General features: G+C 51.6%; 1 protein-coding gene and 1 pseudogene across 16 annotated transcripts in view, besides 5 other annotated features; one reads left to right on the top strand and one right to left on the bottom strand.

Moving 5' to 3' along the window:
- CHST15 (carbohydrate sulfotransferase 15) overlaps positions 1 to 4,418 on the top strand; it is an 85,931-nt gene extending 81,513 nt beyond the window's left edge. For 9 of the 16 annotated variants that reach the window (NM_001270764.2, XM_047425324.1, XM_047425327.1 and 6 more), the window contains one exon: positions 1,747 to 4,418. In NM_001270764.2, coding sequence (NP_001257693.1) covers positions 1,747 to 1,937 — 191 coding nt within the window. In that variant the 3' untranslated portion in view covers positions 1,938 to 4,418. Of the gene's footprint in view, positions 1 to 279 lie in introns of all 16 variants that reach the window. The other 7 variants (XM_005269892.5, XM_047425330.1, XM_017016320.2 and 4 more) reach the window with 2 other exon arrangements.
- Positions 6,012 to 6,513: an enhancer, noted in NCBI's record as "H3K4me1 hESC enhancer chr10:125765089-125765590 (GRCh37/hg19 assembly coordinates)". NCBI's record gives its function as "activates a minimal SCP1, AML or CMV promoter by ChIP-STARR-seq in primed H9 embryonic stem cells {active_cell/tissue: H9 hESC(primed)}" and the evidence as "EXISTENCE:reporter gene assay evidence [ECO:0000049][PMID:30033119]".
- Positions 7,180 to 7,745: an enhancer, noted in NCBI's record as "H3K27ac-H3K4me1 hESC enhancer chr10:125763857-125764422 (GRCh37/hg19 assembly coordinates)". NCBI's record gives its function as "activates a minimal SCP1, AML or CMV promoter by ChIP-STARR-seq in primed H9 embryonic stem cells {active_cell/tissue: H9 hESC(primed)}" and the evidence as "EXISTENCE:reporter gene assay evidence [ECO:0000049][PMID:30033119]".
- Positions 7,746 to 8,313: an enhancer, noted in NCBI's record as "H3K27ac-H3K4me1 hESC enhancer chr10:125763289-125763856 (GRCh37/hg19 assembly coordinates)". NCBI's record gives its function as "activates a minimal SCP1, AML or CMV promoter by ChIP-STARR-seq in primed H9 embryonic stem cells {active_cell/tissue: H9 hESC(primed)}" and the evidence as "EXISTENCE:reporter gene assay evidence [ECO:0000049][PMID:30033119]".
- Positions 16,356 to 16,918: an enhancer, noted in NCBI's record as "H3K27ac-H3K4me1 hESC enhancer chr10:125754684-125755246 (GRCh37/hg19 assembly coordinates)". NCBI's record gives its function as "activates a minimal SCP1, AML or CMV promoter by ChIP-STARR-seq in naive H9 embryonic stem cells {active_cell/tissue: H9 hESC(naive)}" and the evidence as "EXISTENCE:reporter gene assay evidence [ECO:0000049][PMID:30033119]".
- Positions 16,919 to 17,481: an enhancer, noted in NCBI's record as "H3K4me1 hESC enhancer chr10:125754121-125754683 (GRCh37/hg19 assembly coordinates)". NCBI's record gives its function as "activates a minimal SCP1, AML or CMV promoter by ChIP-STARR-seq in naive H9 embryonic stem cells {active_cell/tissue: H9 hESC(naive)}" and the evidence as "EXISTENCE:reporter gene assay evidence [ECO:0000049][PMID:30033119]".
- On the bottom strand, positions 19,415 to 20,471 carry YBX2P1 (YBX2 pseudogene 1; annotated as a pseudogene).

Genomic DNA, 24,641 nt, shown 5'->3' with positions numbered 1-24,641 from the left:
TGGTCTAGTGAAGGGAGAGGAGGAAGCCATAGCTCACCTAACTGAATGACAGGTAGGATGCCGTGGGGAAGGTCAGCACTGTCATGTAAGGTATGTGCTGATGGTTTGGGATCCCAGCTACTGCACGGATGAGGAAGGCTTCATGGAAGGAAAGGGCCTGAGAGCTGAGCTTTGTAGGACCAACAGGATGTCACCGGGGGGCTGGAGCAGAGGACTTGGGGCTTAGAGGAGGGAACAGACAGATCATTGCATCATCTCCGGTATTCTTGGAAATTCCAGGAGTCAGAGCCGTGTGGCTGAGTTTTGGCTGCTGATCATGGATGCTGGGCCCCTGGGGCATGAGCGCCTGCCCTCAGCCTGTGGATACCAGCCCCCCCAGGGGCCTGAGAGTCACTTTGTGGTGACAGGCCACACTGCTGACTATGGTGATGGCTGGCAGAGGCATGTGCTGGCGGAGCGAGTGCTGCCCATGTGGACGGGGCACCGAGGGATGGCTTGAAAGGCTGAGCAGGCTCGAACAAGCCGCCCTCCTTCCCAGAACGCCTCCTGCAGCCCTGACTAATGGTCTTGCCCGGGAACTTGGTTAATTGAGTATTTCTGAAAATATATCTGCCTGCCACTGGGACTTGGGCCTCTTTGATCATTTGATTTTGTTTCTCCTTTTTTTGGAGTTTGATGAGTTCTTTCCCTTCCAAGGCTTAGAATCATCTTTCTTTGATTTGACCACATGTTGACTCTGTCCCATTAATGAGCTTGTCTTTTGTCCCCAAGATGGATAGTAAGGCCAATTCTGTGTTTCATATGGCCCTAGGATGCTGGGACATGCTTTTTCTGTCTATGGGCTAAGGACTTTGGCCAGATCCCAAGAGCCCCCGGTAAAGAGGCTTGAGCAGTGATGGGTTACACCAAGAAGCTGTGGCCCAGAGGGCGGGGCGTTGGGGTCGCAGCCCTTGCTGTTCTGTTTCAGGGCCTCTCACTCCAGAGGGCGGGGCGTGTGCGTGACTGACAGCCCCTCCCGGCCTTTTCCAGGGCCTCTCCTCACTCCAGAGGGCGGGGCGTGGCGGTGACTGACAACCTCTGCCAGCCTGTTCCAGGGCCTCGCCTCACTCCAGAGGGCGGGGCGTGGGGGTGACTGACAGCCCTTGCCGGCAGGCCTCTTCTCCCTGATCTCCTTGCTGCAGATGGAGGTTCAGCCAGTGGGGGCTCTGGGCACAAGTGGCCTCCTCCCAGCCCTCCTCCCTATGGCCACTTCACAGCAAGACGCACAGGGTGAAACTGTGCAGGCCCAGGGACCTTGGCATGAGCAGCCTGAAGTAGAAACGATGATGGCGGAATTCCAGAGGGCTGCTGAGCAGGAAAACCGAAACCCGTGGGCTGTGCTCGGCAGGCCGCACGTTCCTCCAAGGACGGGCTGACACCCATGGAGAGCAGCCCACCAAGGGCAATTGGAAGGGAATCCTTGAGGTCAGCCTTAGACGCTGTATCATCATTAAATGCCAGCTGGGCTCCCCCGAGGGTGGGCATCCTGCACCCGCCGCAGAATTTCTTCGCAATTTCCTGATGGTGTTTCCACCTTCCTCCCTCAGTGCTTCCAAAATGGATCCAGCCAAAGAATTTTAATCCCTAAATATGTTCTCTTAAAGGAAACTCCTGTCTGAATACGAAGCATAGCTGGGATTTTTGCAAAGTCCCTTTTACTTCCTGCCATGCCTCCTGCCTTACGGGACTCGTCTTCTTTTATTCTAGGGCCCTTAAGTGAGAAGCAGGAGGCTTTGATGACCAAGAGCCCCGCATCCAATGCACGGCGTCCCGAGGACCGGAACCTGGGGCCCATGTGGCCCATCACACAGAAGATTCTGCGGGATTTCTACAGGCCCTTCAACGCTAGGCTGGCGCAGGTCCTCGCGGATGAGGCGTTTGCGTGGAAGACGACGTGAGAGCTGAATTGTTGCTGCACGTGCTGGGCCCGCCAATGCCGTCATCATCAGGATTTTACAAATCTCTTTGCGGGGAACTGTTTCACTCATGGTATGGAAAACCCCAGGACTCTGCCACTCTAGGCACACATGAATTATAACCATTTTGGAATTTCCTTCGTGATGTTCGAGAGCTCAGCAATGGACCCCTCACAGAGCTCCTCTATCCGAGGCCATTGGAGACCCCAGTTTCTCAAGAATTCAGCTCTGCTCTGAGCGTCCTGGAGCTTGGGGATGCAGCCAGCTGGCCTGCACTGGGTGTGGAGAGAACACCTAGGGAAGGCAGCCTGGCCCTGCCCGCCTCCGCCTTCTGGAGAGCCTCTGGGTTCTGAGTCAGCAAGCCAGAGGTCATGCCACAGGCCTGGCTGGAACTTACACTTCACGTTCCCTTTTTTTCCCCCTAGAGATGGGGTCTCGCCGTGTTGCACAGACTGTCTGTATTCAATGGCTATCTTCACAGGTGTGATCATACCACATTCACTTCTGAAACACTCTTGTTGCGATCGCTAACCTCACTGGGACAGAGAACCGCAGTCTTTCGAGAATGGAGGCTCTTCATTTTTTTTTTCTCCTTTACTCCAAACTCAGCCCTCCAGTTTCTTCAGATGTAAACCCTGTTAACGTCACTGTTTCCAAAAGGAAAAAAATAAGTCAGTTTTTGGCAGCACCTTCATCTTTCTGACCTCCTCCTATTCTGTCCTTGTGGACTTATGTTTAACATAGAAAATGAATGCGTTTAAAACAAAACCACTTTCTGCATTTAACCAGTCCTGGCTCTCTCTCTGCTGCCTCTTCATACGTTTTCTCAAGAACTTCAGTTTATAATTGGAAGAGAAATTTTTGCTGTTAATGCCAGAATGAGCAACCTCAAGGAATTGAACACTTCTTGGAAAATCTAGGTAATTCAAGCCCTCATCAGGTTTACAAGATCATCAGAGAAACAGAGGATTTTAATTTTTAGTTCTGGCCGGCTACAGGCTCCATTTCTCTGCCTTCCCATTGGAAATAGTTTATTTCCACATTCTCCACTGCGTGTGGTCAAAGTTCCTCACCCAGCAAGGGACTATAGATACTCGTGTCCCAATTCCAAAACACAATGCACAAGCTGAACTTGGGCTGAACGTGGCGTGTTGAGATTTGGAATGAGGTTTCTAAGAGCCGTGTTCTTCATGGAATTTTCCAGGCCACTTGGCAGCTTGGTTTACCGATGGATGGGCTAGAGATCTTGTCGTTTCTTGGAAGTCACAGGGAAGATTGAAGAGAACGCTTGAGCATCCTTGGCAACAGCCCAGGTGGGACCTGGATGAAGCTTTGCACTCAAGTATTGTCAAGGGAAGCTTCCTGTGAACCAAAGTTCTCAGGCCAAGGTCTCGCCCACCAAAGCCAGAAAGTGCAAGCACCCGTCTACCCAGCTCTAACTTGTATGTGTGAGACAGACCAGGCTTCGGGGGTAGGAGGATCTGCAGTTGTTCAGCCGTCTTTCTGCTGGTGTTGTCTTTCTGCCATCAGAGAAGGGACACACAGCCCGTTCGAAGGTGTGCAGAGGGCTCTGAGCGCCAGGATGGCCAGGGCTGTTTTTGCTACTGAAGGAGCGTGTGTCCTGAACTCCCACTTGCAGGGACAGTCCCCACCTTCTCTATAGCCGGCACTGGGAGCAGCCGCCAGCAGGGAAATCTGGCCTGAGCACAAGGATGCTTTAGGGAGAGATCACTTCAGTGTGTGTGTATATTTATTTGCAGTACAGTGCGCGCGTGTGTGTGTGTGTACGCGCACGTGTGGGTGAGTGCGTCTTCTGAGTGGGTTCTGTTCAGTTGCTAATGAGGCTCCTCCGCTCTGGACACAACCCTTTTATAGATTAATTTCTCTGCCAATTAACTTGTCATTTTCAGTACATATTTTACTATTCCACACCAACCATAATTACAACAAGGGATTTTTCTTATGCACTCCTATGCATGTGAATAACATGTGGTGTAATTCTGCTTCTTACAGAAGTATTACTGAAGGTATTATTTCCAATATTATTTGGTTTATTATGCGGATCTTTTTTATATATGCAGTCCCATCCCTTCTGTGCCACTCAATGCCATCCAGACATGGTTTTTCCCTCCAGGGGCCTTTCTCTCCAGAGGGCACTTCGGCTGCCTCTGCTTCCTCTCATTCGAGGCCCGGCTCTTGCTGACAGAATAGGTTCCGTTCTGGGCGGTGGTTCTCGAGCCTGCCATTCAAAACCAAAGCAAATTGGAGCATTTCTCACAACATGGTATTGAAGTTCCTTTTTGTTCTCAAAAGTTGTGACCGTGTTAAATTGTACTCCCTTAGTCCTGTAAGGTATGTTAAGTGAATCGCAGTTACGCTGTACTTTTATTAATATTTAACATAATTAAAGATGGACCCATAAGAGTGACGCCTGTGGAGCGCGTGCTCTTCCTCTGCAGCCAAGCTCTTCCTGGTGCATGAGTGAATCGCAGTGGTTTAGTGTCGCACCTGCTCGAGTTGTGCAGGCTCTGTGTAAAGAGGAGTTACAGCTGTGCTGGCTGCTGAGAGACGAGGTGTGATTGTGCGAGCAACAGGCAGAAGAAAACTCAAGACCAGAGAGAAAAGGATTCAGATGTTAGCAGGGACTCCCTGTGCGAGTCCTGTTGGGGTGTGAGTCAGGGTGGGAGGTCTGGCCCAGCCACAGTCAGGCCTAGCGTTGTCTTCAGACCTTCAAATTTGAAGGTTAAGTGACCACAGGCCTCATTCCGGTGGCCTGCCTGGCCCCTGGCAGCTGTGAGTTTGAGACCCCTGGTGTCTCTGGCACATGTCCTTATTGCTGAGGGCAAGCCCGCAGAAGGAGGTGTGGTGTGCACTCAGGTGGGGCAGCCAGGACAAAAGACCACAAACAACGGAAACTGATTTTCTCAGTCTGGAGGCCAGAGACCCGAGATCAAGGTGCTGCAGGGCTGGTTTCTCTGGGGGTCTCTGTCCTTGGCTTGCTGATGGCTGATTCTCTCTGTGTGTTCATGTGGCCACACACACACACCCCTGCTGCCTCTTCCTCTCCTTATAAGGACACCAGTCGGAGTGGATGAAGGCGTGCTCTGACAGCCTCATCTTAACCTCATCATCTCTTTAAACAACTTTATCTGCAAATGCAGTGACATTCTGAGGTACTCGAGATTGGGACTTCAACATACGAATTTGGGGCACACTTTTCAGCCCATACAGAGGGGACATCTCAGGCTTAGGGCTCTGAAAGCTGGGCCATCCTGAGCACAGCGTGGACCATGGTGGGTCCCCCAGTTCTGGGCAGACCTTCCTGGGGGAGCCTTCTCCCCAGCACCACCTCCCACAGTGGTGTGTTGAGGTAGGGGGCAGGTGTGTCCAGGCTGGAAATAGGGAAGACCCCATCTTTTCCTGCGAGGGTCAGGAATGGCTTTACCCAGCAGGGAATGGAGGACGGGTGGGAGTCAGGAGCAGGACGGCTGGGGTGCATCTTTGAGGGCTGAGGGTATGACCTCCCTCCATTTCAGATTTCCTCTGAAAGCCTCTCCCGTGAGGCCACCCACTCCCCACCGAGAAACCAGCCCTCGGGAAGGATCCTGATGAGGAGTATGCCTCTTCCCCACAAAATGACCCTATTTGGGAACTGAAGCAAAGGCTGTGCTCCAGGTGGAGGAACTCCAAGGATCCCTGAGTGTGGAGACAGGGATTATGTGGGTGACTATTTTCCTGTTACTCCAGAAATCTCACCCTCCAGGCAGCTGTGCTGCCTATGGTGAGGTGGATCCCATGGGGACTGATAGGAAAACATCACTCTGATGAATCGGGTTTTCCCAGTACTTCACCGGGCAAGGTTCCCTGCAGAGCAGCAGAGACAGAATAGGTCCCGTGGGGCAGAAGCTGCATCGGCCGGAACAGCTGTCGGCCTGGGAGCTTTGTGAATTTATGTTGCTATAAAGGAGTACCTGAGGCTGGAAATGTATAAAGGAAAAAAGGCTTGTTTGGCTCACGATTCTGCTGGCTAAGGATTGAGCATTGGGTGAAAGCCTCAGGCTGCTTCACGCCTGGCGGAAGGTGAAGAGGGCGGGCTGCGCAGAGGTCACAGGGGAGGGCAGGGCCGGGGGAGGGAGGTGCCAGGCTCTTTTTAACAACCTGCTTTTGCGGGAACAAATAGAGCAACAACTCACTACCCCCAGGATGGCACCAAGCTATTCTTGCGAGCTCTGCCCCCATGACCCCAACACTGGGGATCAGATTTCAACATGAGGTTTGGGGTACACACATCCAAACTACAGCAGCTACTATAAATCACCCCAAACTTAGTGGCTCAAAGCAACAGAAGTTTATGATCTTACAGTGCTGGAGGCCAGAAGTCTGAAGTTGGTCTCACTGGGCTAAATTCAAGTGATGAGCAGGACTGGTTCCTTCCAGGGGCTCAAAGGGAGTGTTTTCCTACCTTTTCCAGCTTTGAGAGGCTGCCTGCTCTCATGGCTCCTGGTTCTTTCCTCTGTTGTCAAAAGCATGGCATCTTCAAGTCTAACTCTCTCCCTCTGCTTCAGAGATCACATGGCCTTCTCTGACCCTCATGCTCCTGGTGTCGTAAGGACCCTCTCGATGACACCGGGCCCACCAGATAATCCGGGATCATCTCCCCATATCTGGATCACATCTGCAAAGCCTCTTTTGCCATAGAAGGGAGCATATTTGTAGGCTCTAGGGATTATGACATGGACATCTTCAAAGGCCCGTATTCGGCCAAGCACAGGAGGGTGGTGTGGAGAGCTGGCCAGTCAGCCAAGCGTGGGATGGAGGAGGTACCCCGTGGCTGGTTCCCTGTGCTCTACTGTACAGCTCAGGCAGGTCTGAGTGGGGAGGGGGCTGCCCTCAGCAGAAGGCCGAGCTTCTGGATGCGTCTATTTTGGGACAGCGCACCTTCCCGTCCAGGCAAGGCCCTGTGACTGGGGTAGTGGAGTAGGTGGGACAGGGTGACACGAGGGGTCAGGCCACAGACCCACCTCCTCCTCAATTCACATCACAGTGTTTTTCCCGTGGAAGGTCACCTGGTTTCCAAGAGTCAGCCTTGTCCCCCACAATGGAGACAGGACAATTTCTCCAGCTCTTGGTAGAAGTAATTTTTGAGTGCTTACTAGTTATTTACCTTTTTACTTTTTAAAAAATTCTTGTGAAGTTACTTTGTGAGTTTTCCAGGATGTGTGTAAACTACACACATCAGCCACCTAGGTAGTTTTGAGTTGCTTTGAAGTTCAGCTGTTGTTGACTTCAAAGGCAGCAGCTTATGAAAGTTGGAGAAATAGAACATTTTCCAGTCCCTATTCAGGGGTTGGTGACCTCCGTGGCCCCCAGCCTCGTGGCTTTGGGCTTTGGAAGGCTGGTGTCTGGTCTCACTGATGGCTACAGGCTGGACTCACCCCCACCATCTCTGTCCTCACCAACCCTGTCCCCAGCCCCCTGGCTCATCCCCAGTATCCTCTACAAACCTGCTCCTACTCGGGTCCAGGGCAGGAGGCTGAGCACTGTGGGCCATCCTGGGAGCCTCAGGCTGCACAGGTTGCTGACCTTGGACTGTAAGGGCTGAGTACGAAGGCAGAAGGTGGGGATTCTCAGGCAATGCAGCAGGCCTGCGAGAGACTCTGGGGAGGAGCAACAGGGCTCTCTAAATTGCCACCTGCAAGTGGCTGCGTCCTCCTACCATGGGGCACCCAGGACCCAGCTCAGGCTTGCACCTGGGTTCTTCCTTGTTGAACCTGTGGCAAAGCAAGGAGGAGACTTGGTCTACTCCCTCCTGGGCAGCCTCTGCTGACTGCCCTATAGGTGCTGGGCACTGTGTCTGGGACACAGAGACTGTGAAAGGCCTCCTCTCCCACAGTGGAGAGCTGCCAGCAGCATGAGGAGGCCGGGTTCATGCAGGGTCCTTGGCAGGCCTGAGGGCCAGTGGGGATCCTGGGGGCTTTCTGGGGTGTACCCTCAGCTCTGCATGCTTTGAAAGGCCCCTTTAAAGTCAGGTCCTGGTCAGATCTAGAAGCGGGCAAGTCTCAGCTGAGGCTGAAACCTCGGCCTCCCTGAGCCTTGTGACTTGCCCAGGGTCGGAGGCCCAACGCCCCCTGAGGAATTCTCTTCCTGGTACGGCAGAGAAAGGTGGGGGCCAGGGAATCAGGGTGGGGAAATCCCAGCTGCCTCTCCCTGCACCCTGGCCCATCTCCCCCAGGTCATGAGCCATCCCCCTTCGACTGTTTTCCCACCATAAGGGACTATGATTTACATCTACCAAACTCTGCCACCGACAAGGACAGTGTGGGAAGAGGGTGAGCCCTGAGTGGAGCCAGGTGAGCTGGATTCAAAGCCCAGTTCCGCAGCAGAGAGCCTGGGAGAGCCATCTCTTAACCTTGGGTACACCACAGGCCCTTTCTGCACCCACAGGTCTGTCTTGCTCATGAGTGGGTCTCAGAGTTTACAAATATAGACTGAGGATCAGAGAGGCTGCATGCGTGCCTGAGGTCACACAGCTCAGATCCCCAGAAAGAGAGCAGAATGCAGCTCAGACATTCCGAGTCAGTGCTTTTAACCATAGTGCTGCATTATATACCCTCAGCACCAGCCCCAGGCTTCCATCCTCAGTAGCCTGTCTACATTTCAAGGGTTAGTTCTCCTTCCCCTCCATTTCAAATGCCCCCCTTTCAAGTTCCCTCAGGGAAGGCCAGTGGTTTTTGGGGTCACCTGGGCCAGGGTTTTCTGCAGCTCAACCCATCAGGGGTCTAGGTGATGACTGGGATTTCTAGGGGGAAACAAGGGAAATAAACATGGCTTTTTCTGCCAAAAGGCTCTCTCAGCCGAGACTTGCTGGCACGGATATTGCCCCTGCCCTGGGCTGGCTGGCGTGAGTTGTCTGCGCCTCCCTGAAGGCAGACTTCAGGGGCTAGCTGTGATGGGCTAGCTGCGGTGAGGAGTCCCCTGAGCCCTGAGTCACATCAGAAGCACATTGCTCCACCCCAGGGCTCGGCCTTGCCCAGGGCCTCAAAGGCACCAAACGTATACACCTGAGCTAGAAAGTGTAAAAAAGCCAAAATTTAATTTTCTCAGCAAATATTTTCTGAACATCTACTATGCACGAGTCATTGGGCCAGGCATTGTGGTGAGGGTGGGACATTGTTCATTTGCTCATTCATTGATTCCTTCACTGGTTCTTCCAACAAATATTGAGGGATCGCCAGCCATGTCCTTGGTATTAGAGGCACCTGGGAGAGCAGAGCTGGTCCCTGCCTGCATGCAGTGCAGCAGACAGATTTTGATCAGAAACAGACAAGACATTGATCACAGCATTGCCTGAAGCATTTCAGAACTGCAACAGGCATGAGGGGCGATACTGGGGACAGTGACATATTTCTGGTGAGATACCCTCATTCCTCCCCAGCTACTCCACTCTATGACCTCCCCATCTGCCTCAGAGACCAAGCCCCAAGAGGAGGCTGGGCTGGAACTGAACCCCCAGCTTTCCCCAGGCCACACGAAGACCACTCCCAGAATGTTTCAGGCCTACCAGCGCCTCTACCTACGAGGTCACCCCCAAGGCTGCCATGCCCTGATCCTCAGGAAGCCACTGTACCTTGCATTGGGTCCTATGTGTCCCATGGCCCCTCATCCATTCTCAAAATGCCTCCTCCACTTTCATGCTCTGGCTCAAGATGACTGAAGTGTTTCCATAAAGGGCCAGATGGTAAATAATATTAGACTTTGTGGGCCCAAGAGGAAAAACAGGGATATTAGGTACTAATGTAACACAGAGAAAAGAGGTTCCACAAATATTTAGAGATGGAATTCAAAATACAATAGTTGAGTACAATTTTTTGGTAATACAGCTCTGCTTACGAGAAGCAAGGGGTTCTTTTGGGAGTGGGTAACATGCTGCTTCATTGAGGGTCAAGTTGAGTGCACCCTGTCAGACCCTCTGCAGATGCTCGTCTGGAGATGCCATTCCTAATCCAATCTCCTGGCCCTGTTGACTTTGTTGGCAGCTCCTCCTGAAACTCTCACTTGGTCTCCAGAACAACGGACTCCTCGCTGGTCCTCATCCTGCCTCCATGGCTGCACCTGCTCTTCTTTCTGGCCATGAATGTCGGGGTGCCCAGCGGCTCAGTCCTTAGCCCTCTCCCATAACTGTTCTTATCCAGTCCGTGGCCTCAGACGCCATCTCTATGCCGATGACTCCTAGACCTCAGCCCTGAGCGCAGGCTGGTGCACCCACTGCGTGACAGGTGGCGCCCCCAGCATTAATGACTCAGAGCTCTTGGGTCTGTCTCTCCACCTAAGCCGCCTCCCCAGCAGGGTTCCATCTTCAGTCGCAGTGACCAGCCCATGCAGGCCATGTCACTGAGCTCTACCCGGGCGCTGCTCGCCCACACCCACCCTGGAACCCATCTTGCCGGCCGTCCTGCTCCTGCCATCTCTTCTGCGGGAAGGCTCTGCCCCCAGCTTCCTCCTTCAGGCTGACAGCCACTTCCCAGTCAACCTGACCACCCTGACCAAACAGCCACCCCGCCCCTTCCCAAGCCACTCTCTCACCGTCCTGTCTTATTATTTTGTGTAAGTGATCAGGGAAGGGACCATAGTGAGGCAAAGGCACCGGCCCGGCCAGGGTCAGGGAAGGGACCATAGTGAGGCAAAGGTGCTGGTCTGGCCAGGGCCAGTGAAGGGACCATAGTGAGGCAAAGGTGCTGGTCTGGCCAGGGCCAGGGAAGGGACCATAGTAAGGTGATCTCACTTGGTCATAGTAAGGAGACCAATGGTGGATCCTGCCTCATAGGATCCACCATTCTCCCGGCTCTGCCCCCTCATCTTGACCACTCTTGTATTAGTTTGGTTGACTATTTTCTGTATTTTATGATCCTTTGACATCTTGCTGGCCTGGGAAGGACTGCCCTCTCGGGACTAGCTAACCCCTAGATATAGAGGCACTTGGAGCACACCTTTTGTGTGCAAAACGGCCAATCCCAGCCCACCCCGACCATCTCCCTTCCTGAGCACTTGCAGTGGGCAATGCAGCTCCCCAGTCGCCCCGCGGGCCAGGGGCCAGAAACTTGGAAGCCCAGACACTCTGAGCCCCATAAAATTATTCAAACTCAGCTCTAGCCCTGCATAGCCCAGTTGCTGTTTGTCCATTTCTTCCTGTGAAAACCACAGCAAAGGCTCTGGCTCACCATTTCCCCAGGGCTCTCTCTGCCTCCTCCCCTCGGTGCTTCCCAGTGGCCCCACATAGCCCGGTGTGTCTCTTCCTCTTGGGAACTGTGAGTAACAAACCATTGTGCCAAAGGCAATCTTTTTTTTTTTTTTTTTTTTTGAGACAGGGTTTCACTCCGATGCCCAGGCTGGAGTGCAGTGGTACCATCTCGGCTCACTGCAGCCTCAACCTCCAGGGCTCAGGTGATCCTCCCACCTTAGCCTCCTGAGTAGCTGGGACTAAAGGCACCTGCTATCATGCCCAGCTAACTTTGTGTATTTTTTTGTAGAGACAGGGTTTCGCTATGTTGCCTAGGATGGTCTTGAACTCCTGGGCTCAAGCAATCCACCCACCTCAGTTCCTCAAAGTGCTGGGATTATAGGCATGAGCCACTGAGCCCGGCTAAAGACAATCTTCTGAGCTGTTGGTCTCACTTTACCCGAATAACAGTGAAACCTATGCTTCAACACCCCCCACCCCCGCACCACTCCCGCATGGTGGTGAGAGCCGGGGCCAAGGCCCTCCTGGCACCTCCACTGTCACTTTTCCCCTGCAGTCCTTCAAACCATGTCACTCTCTTCCTTGAAACCCTCCCCAACCCCCCAACACACCTAGGATAAAAGGCCAAGACCTGCTCATGGCCCTCGAGGCCCTCCCTGGGTTCTACCCTGCCCTGCTGACCTCTGAGACCTCAGCTGCCCGCACTCACCTCAGCCCTGGCTATGCTGACCTCACCGCCATGCTCAGCACACCAAGCCCTTCCCTGTACTGGCCTGTGACCCTGGGGTGCCCTGCCTGGCACACCCTTCCCTGACCCTGGCCAGGCTGGCACCTTCGCCTCACTACGGTCCCTTCGCTGGCCCTGGCCAGACCAGCACCTTTGCCTCACTACGGTCCCTTCCCTGACCCTGGCCAGGCCGGCACCTTCGCCTCACTACGGTCCCTTCCCTGACCCTGGCCAGGCCAGTGCCTTCGCCTCACTACGGTCCCTTCCCTGACCCTGGCCAGGCTGGCACCTTCGCCTCACTACGGTCCCTTCCCTGACCCTGGCCAGGCTGGCACCTTCGCCTCACTACGGTCCCTTCCCTGACCCTGGCCAGGCCGGCACCTTCGCCTCACTACGGTCCCTTCCCTGACCCTGGCCAGGCCAGTGCCTTCGCCTCACTACGGTCCCTTCCCTGACCACTTACACAAAATAATACCTCTCCTGCATGGCCAGCCTCCCTGCTTGATTTGCTCACAGCTGTCACCTGAGACTGGACCATCTGTGTGTCTGCTGCTGCTTCAGCAGCCCTCTGCCCATCAGGGACCTCCGCTCCTTGAGGTGGGAACTCTGTTCATGGCTGCAGCCTCAGAGCCTGAATCAGTGACTGCACATAATACTCACTCAACAAACTTAGATGGGGCAAAGGCATGTGTGATGATGCTGTAGAGCAGGCAATCCCCCACCCCTCGGGCATGGGCCAGTAGCAGTCCTGGGCTACACAGCGGGAGGTGAGAAGCAAAGCTTCATCTCTATTTACAGCTGCTCCCCATCGCTCACATTACCACCTGAGCTCCACCTCCTAGTGGTAACGTTGGATTCTCATAGCAGCTCCAACCCTATTGTGAACTGTGCATGTGAGGGATCTAGGTGGCACATTCCTTACGAGAATCTAAGATCTGTTGCTGTCTCCCATCACCCCCAGATGGGACCACCTAGTTGCAGGAAAACAAATTCAGGGCTCCCACTGATTCTACATGATGGTGAGTTGTAGAATTATTTCATTACGTATTTCAGTATAGTAATAATAGAAATGAAGTGCACAATACATGTAATGAGCTTGAATCATCCCAAACCATCCCCCCCACCAAACTGTGGAAAAACTGTCTTCCATGTAACTGGTCCCTGGTGCCAAAAAGTTGGGGCCTGCCGCTCTGGAGTGTGAAGCAGGGAAAGAGGACCTCACCGTAAGGGCCAGGCTCACTTTCCTAAGGAAGGAACAGGGAGAGCCTAGAAGAATGCAGGCCTTGTGCAAATGTCAGAACCTCCAGCAGAGGAGAGGTCTGCAGGGTGCATGGGGGCTGTGACCCAGATGGCATCAGGAAAGAGGTGGCGTTAAGCTGAGCCCTAAAGACTGGCAGGATCTAGAAAGGTGGGCAGGCATGCCGAGAGGAGGGGCTGGGGTGAGCAGGGGCAGGGAGCAGGGAAGGCCAAAAGAGCAGGGAAGGTCTCAGTGCCTCCGGAAAGGAGTATACGAACATTCTGGGCTTTGGAGTCAGGGAGACCTGGACTACAATCCTGGCTCTGCCATTGTCCTCTGTGTGACCTTAGGCAGAGGGTTTGATGCTACTGAGCCTCTGTTTTCTTATCTGCAGAATGGGTATGCACTCAGACTCAGGCCCTTATGGCGATAAGGGTTCACGCATGTAATACCCTCCACATGGCATCTGGACCCTGGAGGTGGGGGCAGGTCACCTCAGCAATGGTCCTCAGGCACGATTGTTGTAGCAGTAGGAGGTGAAGCCACCCAGGTAAGTGGGCACAAGGTCAAAGAGGGTTTGGGTCTCAGGGTAAATGCCTTTGGTTGAACTAGTGGTGTATTGAGCTTCCCACACTGACATTTTCTGAGCAGAGGAATTATTGGTTAGCGCAGGGATTTAGGTCATTAATTTGGAGCAGGTAGAAGTGCCTGGAAATGGAAGGACTAAGGCTGAGGCTTCTATGGTCCAAGTGAGTGATCACAGGGGCTGGGAGTAGGAAGCACGGCTGAAGGGCCATCTCAAAGGCACTGTACCAATGGGATGGTGACATCACTACTGACGGCACCCACAGAGCTGGGGTATATGTATGCTTATGTGTAACTTCCCATTTTACAGAAAAGGAAGCTGGGGCTCAGGGAGGTTAGGTGACTGCTCCAAGGTCACACACTTAGTACTGGACCCAGTGTTGGAACCCACCAAATCTGACCCATCTTGTGCTTGTCACTAACTGAAGGATGTGGCAGGCAATGGAGGCAAGGTCAAAGGCAAAGTCAAGCCCCAAATGGTCAAAGACAAGGATTAGACTTGGAGCTGGTGTCCAGCCTGAGGGTGGAGGGGTGAGGGACATTTACCGTAGCAGGGGAAGGCTGGGTCGAGTCAACGTTCTTGCAACATCCGTAATTGCAGCGTTAGCTGGGCAAGTTAGATGGGTGGGGAAGTCCTACTTAACCACATAGACATTTCTTAAACATTTTATTTTTACTTCAAATATGTGAAGTACAGCACATCTATTTGTCTGCCTTTTGGTATGGAGCCAAAACCTTTTCTCTGAGCATGAGCCCACTGATTGGAGCTCTGGGTCATCTCTGTGGCAGAAACCACAGAGCAGTGAATCAGCACTGATTTCTGGTTTCAGTGTTTCTAAAGGGACATGAGAACTGGAAGGCGCTTGCAAGGCAATCTCGAGGCAGAGTCCTTCATTATTTGTGTGATTATTTTCCCCAAATCATTACCCTCATCTGTGCTGGGACTTTCCAAAGCTTCCAGCCTAGCATTCAGGGAGCAGCTCCCTTTCTGCATTAATATTTCATCAGCTTCCCTCAGTGGCTCTCCGAGAGTGGCCCAGGGACCACTTGCGACCCTTTCAGGGAATCCAAAGTCCAAATTCTTTTCACGGTCAAACTGAGATGTTGTTTGCCCTTGATGCTCTCATTTTCTCCAGAAGGTACAAATAAAGATTTTCAGAGCCCCCAGCCCCCAGCCCTGGCCTCTGACAGCCGACGGAATGCGTGCTTGTGTGTCTCTGTGCTTTGAAAGTCTCTCATCTTTAATTTTGAAGATAGTCAATATCAATCAATGCAAGCCACTGAAACAAAAGCTGTTTGGGATCTTCAATGATTTTTAAGAGTATAAAGGAATCTTTAAACAGTTTGAGGCTGGGCATGGTGGCTCACACCTTTAATCCCAGCATTTTAGGAGGCCGAGGCAGGAGGATCCCTTGACCCCAGGAGTTTGAGACCAGCCTGGGCAAGATGGTGAGACCCTGTCTCTACAAAGTAGGTAAGTAAGTAAGTAAGTAAATAAATAAATAAATAAATAAAAATTAGCAGAATGTGGTGGCACACACCTGTGGTCCCAGCTACTTGGGAGGCCGAGGTGGGAGGATCACTTAAGCACCAAAATTTGAAGCAGCAGTGAGCTGTGATCATGCCACTGCACTCCAGCCTGGGGGACAGAGCAAGACCCCACCTCTGAAAACAAACAAACAAACCCAACTAGTTTGAAAACTTGCTAGCTTATATGATATTTAATTAACCTGTGCCTTCATAATATCAAGAACAGCTGGCATGAAAAAGGCTCGGGGGCAAACACAATTGACTTGTGGTAAATACAAGATCAGCTGGAGGGTGTTTTGCCAAACGGCTGAAAGCCAGGAGAGCTGAGCACGCCCAGGATGTCTAGGGGACATGGACACACCTGTCACCTGCAATGGCCAGATGAGAGGCCATCCATGGTAAAGGGGATGAAAACGGTCATAACAGGGCCAGCTATGATTGAACACAGGGTGAGTGCCACGCCCTGTGCTGGGGCGTCTCCTCGTGTCTCATTAGATCCTCACTGCAACCCCAGGAGGAGGTTTTATCTTTATTCTGGTTCCGCCATTATAAAGGTGGGAGAATTGGGGCTCAGTCCCCTCAGCTAGTAAGGAGAAGAGCTGGTCCTTGATCTCAGGTCTGCTGGTCCCCAGAGCTCGAGTCCCAGCTTCAGCTTCTCAACTCTGAGTCTCTGAAAAGGGTTTCCAAGGAGGCGGTGGAACCGTGTGGACTCAATGACTTCAGACATGGTCTGGGGCTGGGAGGCCAGACCGAGCTGCTGCAGGTAGGGAGGGCTGAGGTCAGGGTTGGGTGCCATCTTCAGGTTGTGGAAGCAACAGCAATGCCAGGACAGCAGGGCCTCCTCCTCCCCTGCGACCCACTGTGTGCCCAGACTCCCAGGGACAGAAACTCCGTCCTGGGCTCCACCGCTGCCTTCACTGCATCCCCTCCCTGTCCCACATCCCCCTGCAGGCCAGAGCCGAGCTGAGTGTGCTGCTGGCCATGGGGCTCTTCGCAGGCGCTGTTGAGCAGATGGGACCGGCTGTGCCCTGGGCCCTTCCACCTCACAGGCTGACGCTTGCTCAGAGCCCAGGAACCTCGAGCCGCCCCAGACGCGGCCAATTCTGAGGTCAATACGGGGCCCCGGTGGCCAGGGGCTCCAGCAGCTGAAGGTTCGAGTCACGGTGGAGGAATGGGGCGTGGCTGCTCTCTTCCCCAGGGTTGGGCTCCCGGCCGCGGAGGGGCAGCTGGCTCGTGCCCCAGTGGCGGGGGAGACTATTTGCTTACTCCCACCTCCACATGAGATAATCAGGAGGTCTCCTGCCATACTCTGCGCTTTCAGCATAATGGAATTCAGGAAAATTCCTGGGCCGAGCCACCCCGCAATTCTAAAGGCAGAGACCTGGGCAGCCTGCAAGGACCTCGGGATATGGGTACACTTCCTATCCCCGCTATCTTCCTACTTCTCCTAAGAAACCACTTGCCTCCCGGGACCCCAGGCCTCTGCCTCCTGCCTTTGCCCACGAGGTGACTCCACCAGGAGTGCCCACCCCCACATTGTTCAACTGAGTCCGCCTCTTACCCCACCCCAAGGCCAAGTTCAAGTGCTGCTGCTTCCTCCATGATGGCTGCCCGGATTCCTCCATCCCTATCCCCAGATATGCAGCAGTGGAGCGATGTTCCTGATGCGGAGGCAGTGGATGTCTGGAGAGAGAACCGAACTGGGGGGCCAGAGAAAGAGCTGGACGATCTTAAGCAAGCAATTTAACCTCTCTGAGCCTCAGTTTCCCCAGCCTCTGAACGGGGTGAGAATACGGAGGATTTCAAGGGGCCCTTATAGATCTGCCTCTTTATTGCCTTTTGAAAACTCGCCACTTTCCCCAAGCTGATTGAATTCCTGAGGCGTTTTGCAGAGGAGCTGCGGGAAGGGTGTGGAAGGGGGCGGGTCCGGGAGTGGCAGCCCCGTCCCCACGCCCCTGGGGTTCTGCGGACCAGCTCACTGGAGACCAGGAGGCGCTAAAAGGCAGCCCTGCGCTGCCCCCTGGTGGCCGATGTGGACACTGCAGCCAGGAAGCCTTTCCCTCCCGGCCTTCCGGAGACAGGCTGCCGGCTGGACACTCCCCTGGCTTCGCGGCTCACCTCTCACCTGGCTAGGGAACTCCTGACACCAAGGGGGACCCCGGGATGAGGGCGTTGGAGGGTGAAAGACTGGGTCTCAGCTCAGCCAATCAAGAGCGTAGTTCTGAAGAAGCCCAGTTGCGGGAAAGGAGTGAATGTGGCGGCCCCCAGAGGTGCGCCCAGCTGCTCCTCCGTCTGTGGGCTTTTCCCACGGCCTTCTCAGGAGCGCCGCCCAGCAGCTCCGCTGGAAGTGGTAGGTGCGCAGACACCTCCTCCCCACCCTTCTGCCCTCCTAGTCCTTCCACCCTGGGACAGTTGCCCCTTCCCAACCCTCTCTTCTGAACCCTTACAAAACCTTGTCCTGAGCCAGCTGTACTTTGTTCTCAAGCCCCCTCCTAGGACTGTGGACGGTTGAGGAGGGCCTCGGAAGGAGCCACCACTATCCCCAGGGAGGCCTTGGAAGTGGGCGTGATAGTGATGGGGAGTTCCTGGAGCAGGATCAGGGGCCTGTCTGCAAACACACCAGGGTCCTATCCTTTTTCACCATTGCCTGCCTCTGCCTTCTCCACTTCTCCCCAGCATTCTGTCTTCCCTGGCCTCTCCCGTCTCCTCTCTGCCTCTCTTCTCTCCTTAAGCCTTGCGTCTGTGTCCTCGTAGTCCTATGCAGGCAGGCTCTGCTTATCCCTGTTCCCTGAACCATTCTATTCCTAGATGGAACAGGATGGAACAGGTCCAGGGGCCGCTGGGCTCCGACACCCCTGGCCCTATTCCCAGGGCCTCCCTGTGTTATCTGAGCACCTTCCCAGCCTTAGTTCAACACGCTGAGGTCTGGGATTTCCATCTTGGACCCAGGTGCTCATCCTGCTTGGCCCTGACCTTCCCCTCCCCTGTCCACTTTGCCTTTGAGTCCTTTCTGCCCTCTCGTCTCCTTTACTTGCTTTCTCTCTCCTCCTCTCCATTTGCTCTCGCCCCTCCGGCAGTGAAGGAGATTTACTGGGCTGGGCTAGGGCTGGGGTTGGGGTTCCAAGGGACAGAGGGTCTGGATAATAAGCCGCTACTGTGCAGGCTTAGGAGTGTCCGCAGCCTCAATGAAAAGCCGAGATAACGCAGATAAATCCACATGCCCTGCTCTGCCTAAAAGACACACTTAGAAGATCCAATCTGTGACGCTTGGCTGCACTTTTTTTTTTTTTAAATTTTACTTTAAGTTCTGGGATACATGTGCAGAACATGAAGGTTTGTCACATAGGTATACATGTGCCATGGTGGTTTGCTGCACCTATCAAACTGGTATCTAGGTTTTCAGCTCTGCATGCATTAGGTATTTGTACTAATGCTGTCCCTCCCCTAGACCCCACCCTCCAACAGGTCCCGGTGTGTGATGTTCCCCTCCCTGTGTCCATGTGTTCTCATTGTTCAACTCCCACTTATGAGTGAGAACATGCTGTGTTTGGTTTTCTGTTCCTGTGTTAGTTTGCTGAGAATGGTGGCTTCCAGCTTCATCCATGTCCCTGCAAAGGACATGAACTCATCCTTTTTTACGGCCGCATAGAATTCTGTGGTGTATATGTGCCACATTTTCTTTATCCAGTCTATCATTGATGGGCATTTGGGTTGGTTCCAAGTCTTTGCTATTGTGAATAGTGCTGCAGTAAACATATGTGTGCATACGTCTTTATAGTAGAATGATTTATAATCCTTTGGGTATATACCCAGTAATAGGATTGCTGGGTCAAATGGTATTTCTGGTTCTAGATCCTTGAGGAATCACCACACTATCTTCCACAATGGTTGAACTAATTTACACTATCACCAACAGTGTAAAAGCGTTCCTATTTCTCCACAGCCTCGCCAGCATCTGTTATTTCCTTACTTTTTAATGATCGCCATTCTAACTGGCATGAGATGGTATCTCATTGTGGTTTTGATTTGCATTTCTCTAATGATCAGTGATAATGAGCTTTTTTTCATATGTTTGTTGGCTGCATAAATGTCTTCATTCTTTTTTATTATTTATTATTTTTAATTTTTTTAAAAAATAATTTCCTTGGCTGGGCTTGGTATCACTGTCCCCACCTTCCATGGTAGGCTGCTGGGGTGGCCTGGGGCGTAAAGGCCTTAGGTACCTGGGCCGGAATCTGGGCGGGGGGACCCACTCATCTCCCTGCTGTTGGTGCCCCTCCAATGGGGCTGTCTGTTTGGTTCTACCCCATCAGTGCCCTCTATAGGCTGCTGCTGGTTGGGGGGCCGGGGGCCTCGCACAAACCGCCGTAGGTAGAAGGGTGGGGGGCGCCATCGTCTGGGCCGCTGCCCAGAGTCTTCGGCCCGCTCCCCTTCGCCGCCAGGTTCTGTCCCCCGAGAGGGGATCTCTGCCACCATGGGTGGTGGGGCAACTGAGGGAGGCCGGGGATGAATCAGCGGAACCTACGTCGGTTGGGGGCATAACGGTGCCCTTCATGGGCACCCCCGCCGCCCTGGGCCCAGTTACATTAGTGGCTTCTGCGCCCTTCTCTCCTTCCACGACATCAAATTCCACAGTCTCCCCATCTCTAACGCTGCGCAGAAACTTCCTGGGGTTGTTTCTTTTAACAGCTGTCCAGTGAACGAAGACATCTTCCTTGGCGTCATTCCTGTTGGTGAATCCGTAACCACTCCGGACGTTGAACCGTTTGGCAGTGCCCAGGCAGGACTCGGGTTGCCAGCACCGGCTTGTCCGCCTGACTCCGGGCGGGGGTTCCCGAGGCCGCCGTCGCCGGGTTGCCAGGGGTGCGGGGGCCCGGCGCCGAGGGGGTCCCAGCAGCGGGGTCCAAGGCGGCTGCGTCCCCGCCGCAGCCGCCCGCCCCGCCGCCTGCTTTCTGCGGCTCCCCTGCGGGCACCGGTACCACCACCGCTACCACCCCTGCCACCGTCGCGGGCACCGTCGCCGCGGGGACCGCTGTCGCCACCGCTGCCGCCTCCACCTCGCTCATCCCGCCGGGTCCAGTACCGGCCCCCGCCGCCACCGCCTCCTCCGCCGCCGCCGCCACCGCCCCGGCCCCTCCCCCCGGCTGGCGAACCCGCTGCGCTGCGCGATCCTCGCGCCCCGAGCCTCGCCCGGACGCCCAATGTCTTCATTCTTAATTGCTGCACTTCTTTTTTTTTTTTTTTTTTTTTTTTTTTTGAGATGGAGTCTCGCTCTGTCGCCCAGGCTGGAGTGAAATGGCTGATCTCGGCACACTGCAACCTCCACCTCTCGGAGTCAAGTGATTCTCCTGCCTCAGCCTCCCAAGTAGCTGGGATTACAGGCGTGTGCCACAACGCCCGGCTAATTTTTGTATTTTTAGTAGGACGAGGTTTCACCATGTTGGTCAGGCTGGTCTCAAACTCCTGACCTCAAGTGATCCTCCCGTCTTGGCCTCCCGAAGTGCTGAGATTACAGGCATGAGCCATCATGCCCGGCCTGCACTTCTTAATCGCTCCCTTTCCCCAGTCCCTCAAGCCCATGCTTGTTCACGTATCACAGCCCCTCACCAACCAGTGGCTATGCCTCTTGGAACACGGGGCCCTCTCAGCCCATGCACCAGAAGAGGGAACTACCATTGCCTTAGCTGAGAAGCGACCCATTTAAGTCCACTCACATTTCAGTTGCCAGAACTCGATCTGTGTCCCCATCCAGCTGTGAGACGGCCAGTCTGCCTTGGCCTGGATGGAGAGATGCTGTCAGGAACCTGCGCTGTCTTGCATTTCACTGAGGACTCCTATGAGACTCTGCAAGGAGAAAAACCATATGATCGTCTCAATCAACGTCAACAAAAGGATTTGACTAAAGGTAACATCCCTTCATGATGAAAATCACCAACAAATTAGGTGTGAAAAGGAACATATCTCAACACAATAAAGGACATATATGACAAACCCACAGCTAATATCATATTGAATAAAAAAAAGCTGAAAGCTTTTCCTCTAAAATCTGGAATAAGACAAGGATGCCCACTTTCACCACTTGTATTCAACATAGTACTGGAAGTCCCTGCCACAGCAATTAGGTAAGAGAAAGAAATAGAGAGCATCCAAATTGGAAAGAAAGAAGTCAAATTTTCTCTGTCTGCTGATGACGTGATCTTCTAAAGTCTTCACCAAAAAAACCGTTAGAATTCATAAGTTCATTAAAGTTGCATGGTACAAAATCAACATACAGAAATTAGTACTGTTTCCATACACCAATAGCAAACTATCTGAAAAAGAAATCGAGAAAGCAATCCCTGGGCTGGGTGTGGTGGCTCACGCTTATAATCCCAGCACTTTGGGAGGCTGAGGCAGGAGGATTGCCTGAGGTCAGGAGTTTAAGATCAGCCTGGCCACATGGTGAAACCCGTTTTGTATCTACTAAAAATACAAAAACTAGCTAGGCATGGTGGTGCACACCTGTAATCCCAGCTACTTGGGGGGCTGAGGCAGGAGACTTGCTTGAATGCGGGAGGCAGAGGTTGCAGCGAGGCGAGATAGTGCCTCTCCCCTCCAGCCTGGGCAATAGAGTGAGACTGTGTCTCAAAAACAACAACTACAACAACAAACCAAGAATACATTGAATCAAAGTGGTGAAAGATTTCTACAATGAAAATATAAAATATCAATGAAACGAACTGAAGAGGACACAAATAAATGGAAAGGTATTTTATGTTCATGGGTTAGAAGAATTAATATTGTTAAAATGTTCATACTGCACAAAGTGATCTAGAATTTCAATGCAATCCCGATCAAAAAAATTAACATTCTTCACAAAAATAGAAAAAACAATCCTAAAATATGTACCAAACCATAAAAAAACCCAAATAACCAAAGCAATCTTAAGCAAAAAGAACAGAGCTGGAGGCATTAAACTACCTAACTTCAAGATACACTACAAAGCTATAGTAACCAAAACAACATGATATTAGCATAAAAACAAGACATATAGACTAATGTGAGAGAATGGAGAACCCAGAAATAAATGCAAGCAGTTATAGCCAACTGATTTTTTTTGACAAAGGTGTCAAGAACACACACTGGGAGACAGGACAGCCTCTTTAGTAAATGGTGCTGAGAAAACTAGATATTGACATTCAGAAGAATAAAACTCTACCACTTTCTTTCACCATATTAAAAAAAATCAACTCAAAATGGATTGAAGAGTTAAATGTAAGACCTGAAACTGTAAAACTACTAGAAGAAAACATAGGGGAAATGTTTTAGGACATAGGCCTGGGCAAGGATTTTTTGTTGCCTATGCTCAAAAGCATAGGCAACAAAAGCAAAAATAGACAAATGGTATTATAGCAAACTAAAAAGCATTTGTACAACAAAGGAAACAATCAACAGAGTGAAGAGACAATCTATAGAATAGGAGAAAATATTTGCAAACTATGCATCTGACAAGCGGCTGATATCCAGAATATATAAAGAACTCAACTCACTAGCAAAAAACTAAATAATTGAATTTTAAAATGGGCAAAAGATCTGAACAGATATTTATCTAAAGAATACATAAACATTGCCAACAGGAGTGTAAAAAAATGCTCAACATCACTAATCATGAGGGAAATGCAAATAAAAACCATAATGAGATATTACCTCACCCCAAGTAGAATGGTTATTACCAAAAAGACAAAAAACAAAAGAAATACTGGCAAAGATGTGAAGAAATGGGAACCCTTATGTAATAGTCTGTTCTCACGTGGCTAATAAAGACATACCTGAGACTGAGTAATTTATGAAGGAAAGAGGTTTAATTGACTCACAGTTCCACATGGCTGCAGGGGCCCCACAATCACAGTGAAAGGTAAAAGGGAAGCAAGACATGTCTTACATGGCAGCAGGCATGAAGGCTTGTGCAGGGGAACTGCCCTTTTATACAATCATCAGATCTCACGAGACTTATTCACTGTTATGAGAATAGCATGGGAAAAACCCACTCTCAAGATTCAATTACCTCCCACTGGGCCCCTCCCATGAAACATGGGCATTATTACAATTCAATATGAGACTTGGTTGGGGACACAGAGCCAAACCATATCACCTTATATACTGCTGGTGAGGAATGTAAACTAGCACAGCTGTTATGGAAAACAGTATGGAGGTTCCTCAAAAAATTAAAAATAGAGCTACCGTATGATCCAGCAATCTCACTGCTGGGTATACTGTATATATCTAAAGGAAATGAAGCCAGTATGTCAAAGAGACACCTGCACCTCCATGTTTATTGCAACACCATTCATAATAGTGAAGATATGGAAGCAACCGAAGTGTCCATTAGTGAATGAATGGATAAAGAAAATGAGGTACGCATACACAATGGAATTGTATTCAGCCATAAAAAGAATCGAGTCTTGTTATTTTCTGCAAGATGGATGAACCTGTAGGACATTATGTTAAGTGAAATAAGCCAAGCTCAGAGGTATAAATACCACATGATCTAGCTCACTTGTGGAATCTGAAAAAGCTGATCTCATAGAACTGCAGAGTAGAATAGAAGTTACCAGAGGGTGGAGAAGCTTAGGGGAAGGAGGGGATGAGAAGAGATTGGTCAATGGGTACAAAATTACAGGTAGATAGAAGAAATAAGTTATAGTATTCTATTGCACAGTAGGGTGACTATAGTTAACAATACAAGGGGACTTCAAAAAGTTAGGAAAAAATGGAATTAAAAGATAAAAATTTAAAGCATAAATTTCATTTCTCAACATAAGCTCCATCAACTTCAAGACATTTTTCTAAGAGATGTGATATGGTTTGGATCTGTGTCCCCACCCAAATTTCATGTTCAACTGTAATCCCTAGTGTTGGAGGTGGGTGGGGCCTGGTGGGAGGTGATTGGGTTACGGGGGCACATTTCTCATGAATGTTTTAGCACTACCCCTTGATGCTGTCCTCATGATAGTGAGTTCTTGTGACACCTGGTTGTTTAAAAGTGTGTAGCACCTCCTGCCCACCCCCACCATCCCTCCTGCTCTTGCCATGTAAGACACCTACTCTCACTTTGCCTTCTGCCATGAGTAAAACTTCCCAAGGCCTTCCCAGAAGCAGATGCCGCCATGGTTCCTGTACAGCCTGCCAATTAAACCTCTTTTCTAATAAATAGCAGTTTGACAATGGACTAATACAGGATGATACCAGCCATTTAGTCCGTTCCTGAAGAACTGAGGGTCCTGGGAATTTAACTATGTCAATGTAGTCTTTTTTACATTATTAACTAAAGGAAAATGGGTGCCATTTAAAGATTTTTTAAGATTAAGGCCGGGTGCAGTGGCTCATGCC

Source organism: Homo sapiens, chromosome 10 (genome assembly GCF_000001405.40).
Source record: "Homo sapiens chromosome 10, GRCh38.p14 Primary Assembly".
In the NCBI taxonomy this organism is placed as follows: Eukaryota; Metazoa; Chordata; class Mammalia; order Primates; family Hominidae; genus Homo; species Homo sapiens.
Note: the sequence above shows the minus strand (reverse complement) of the source record. Positions and strands in the feature narration are given on the sequence as shown.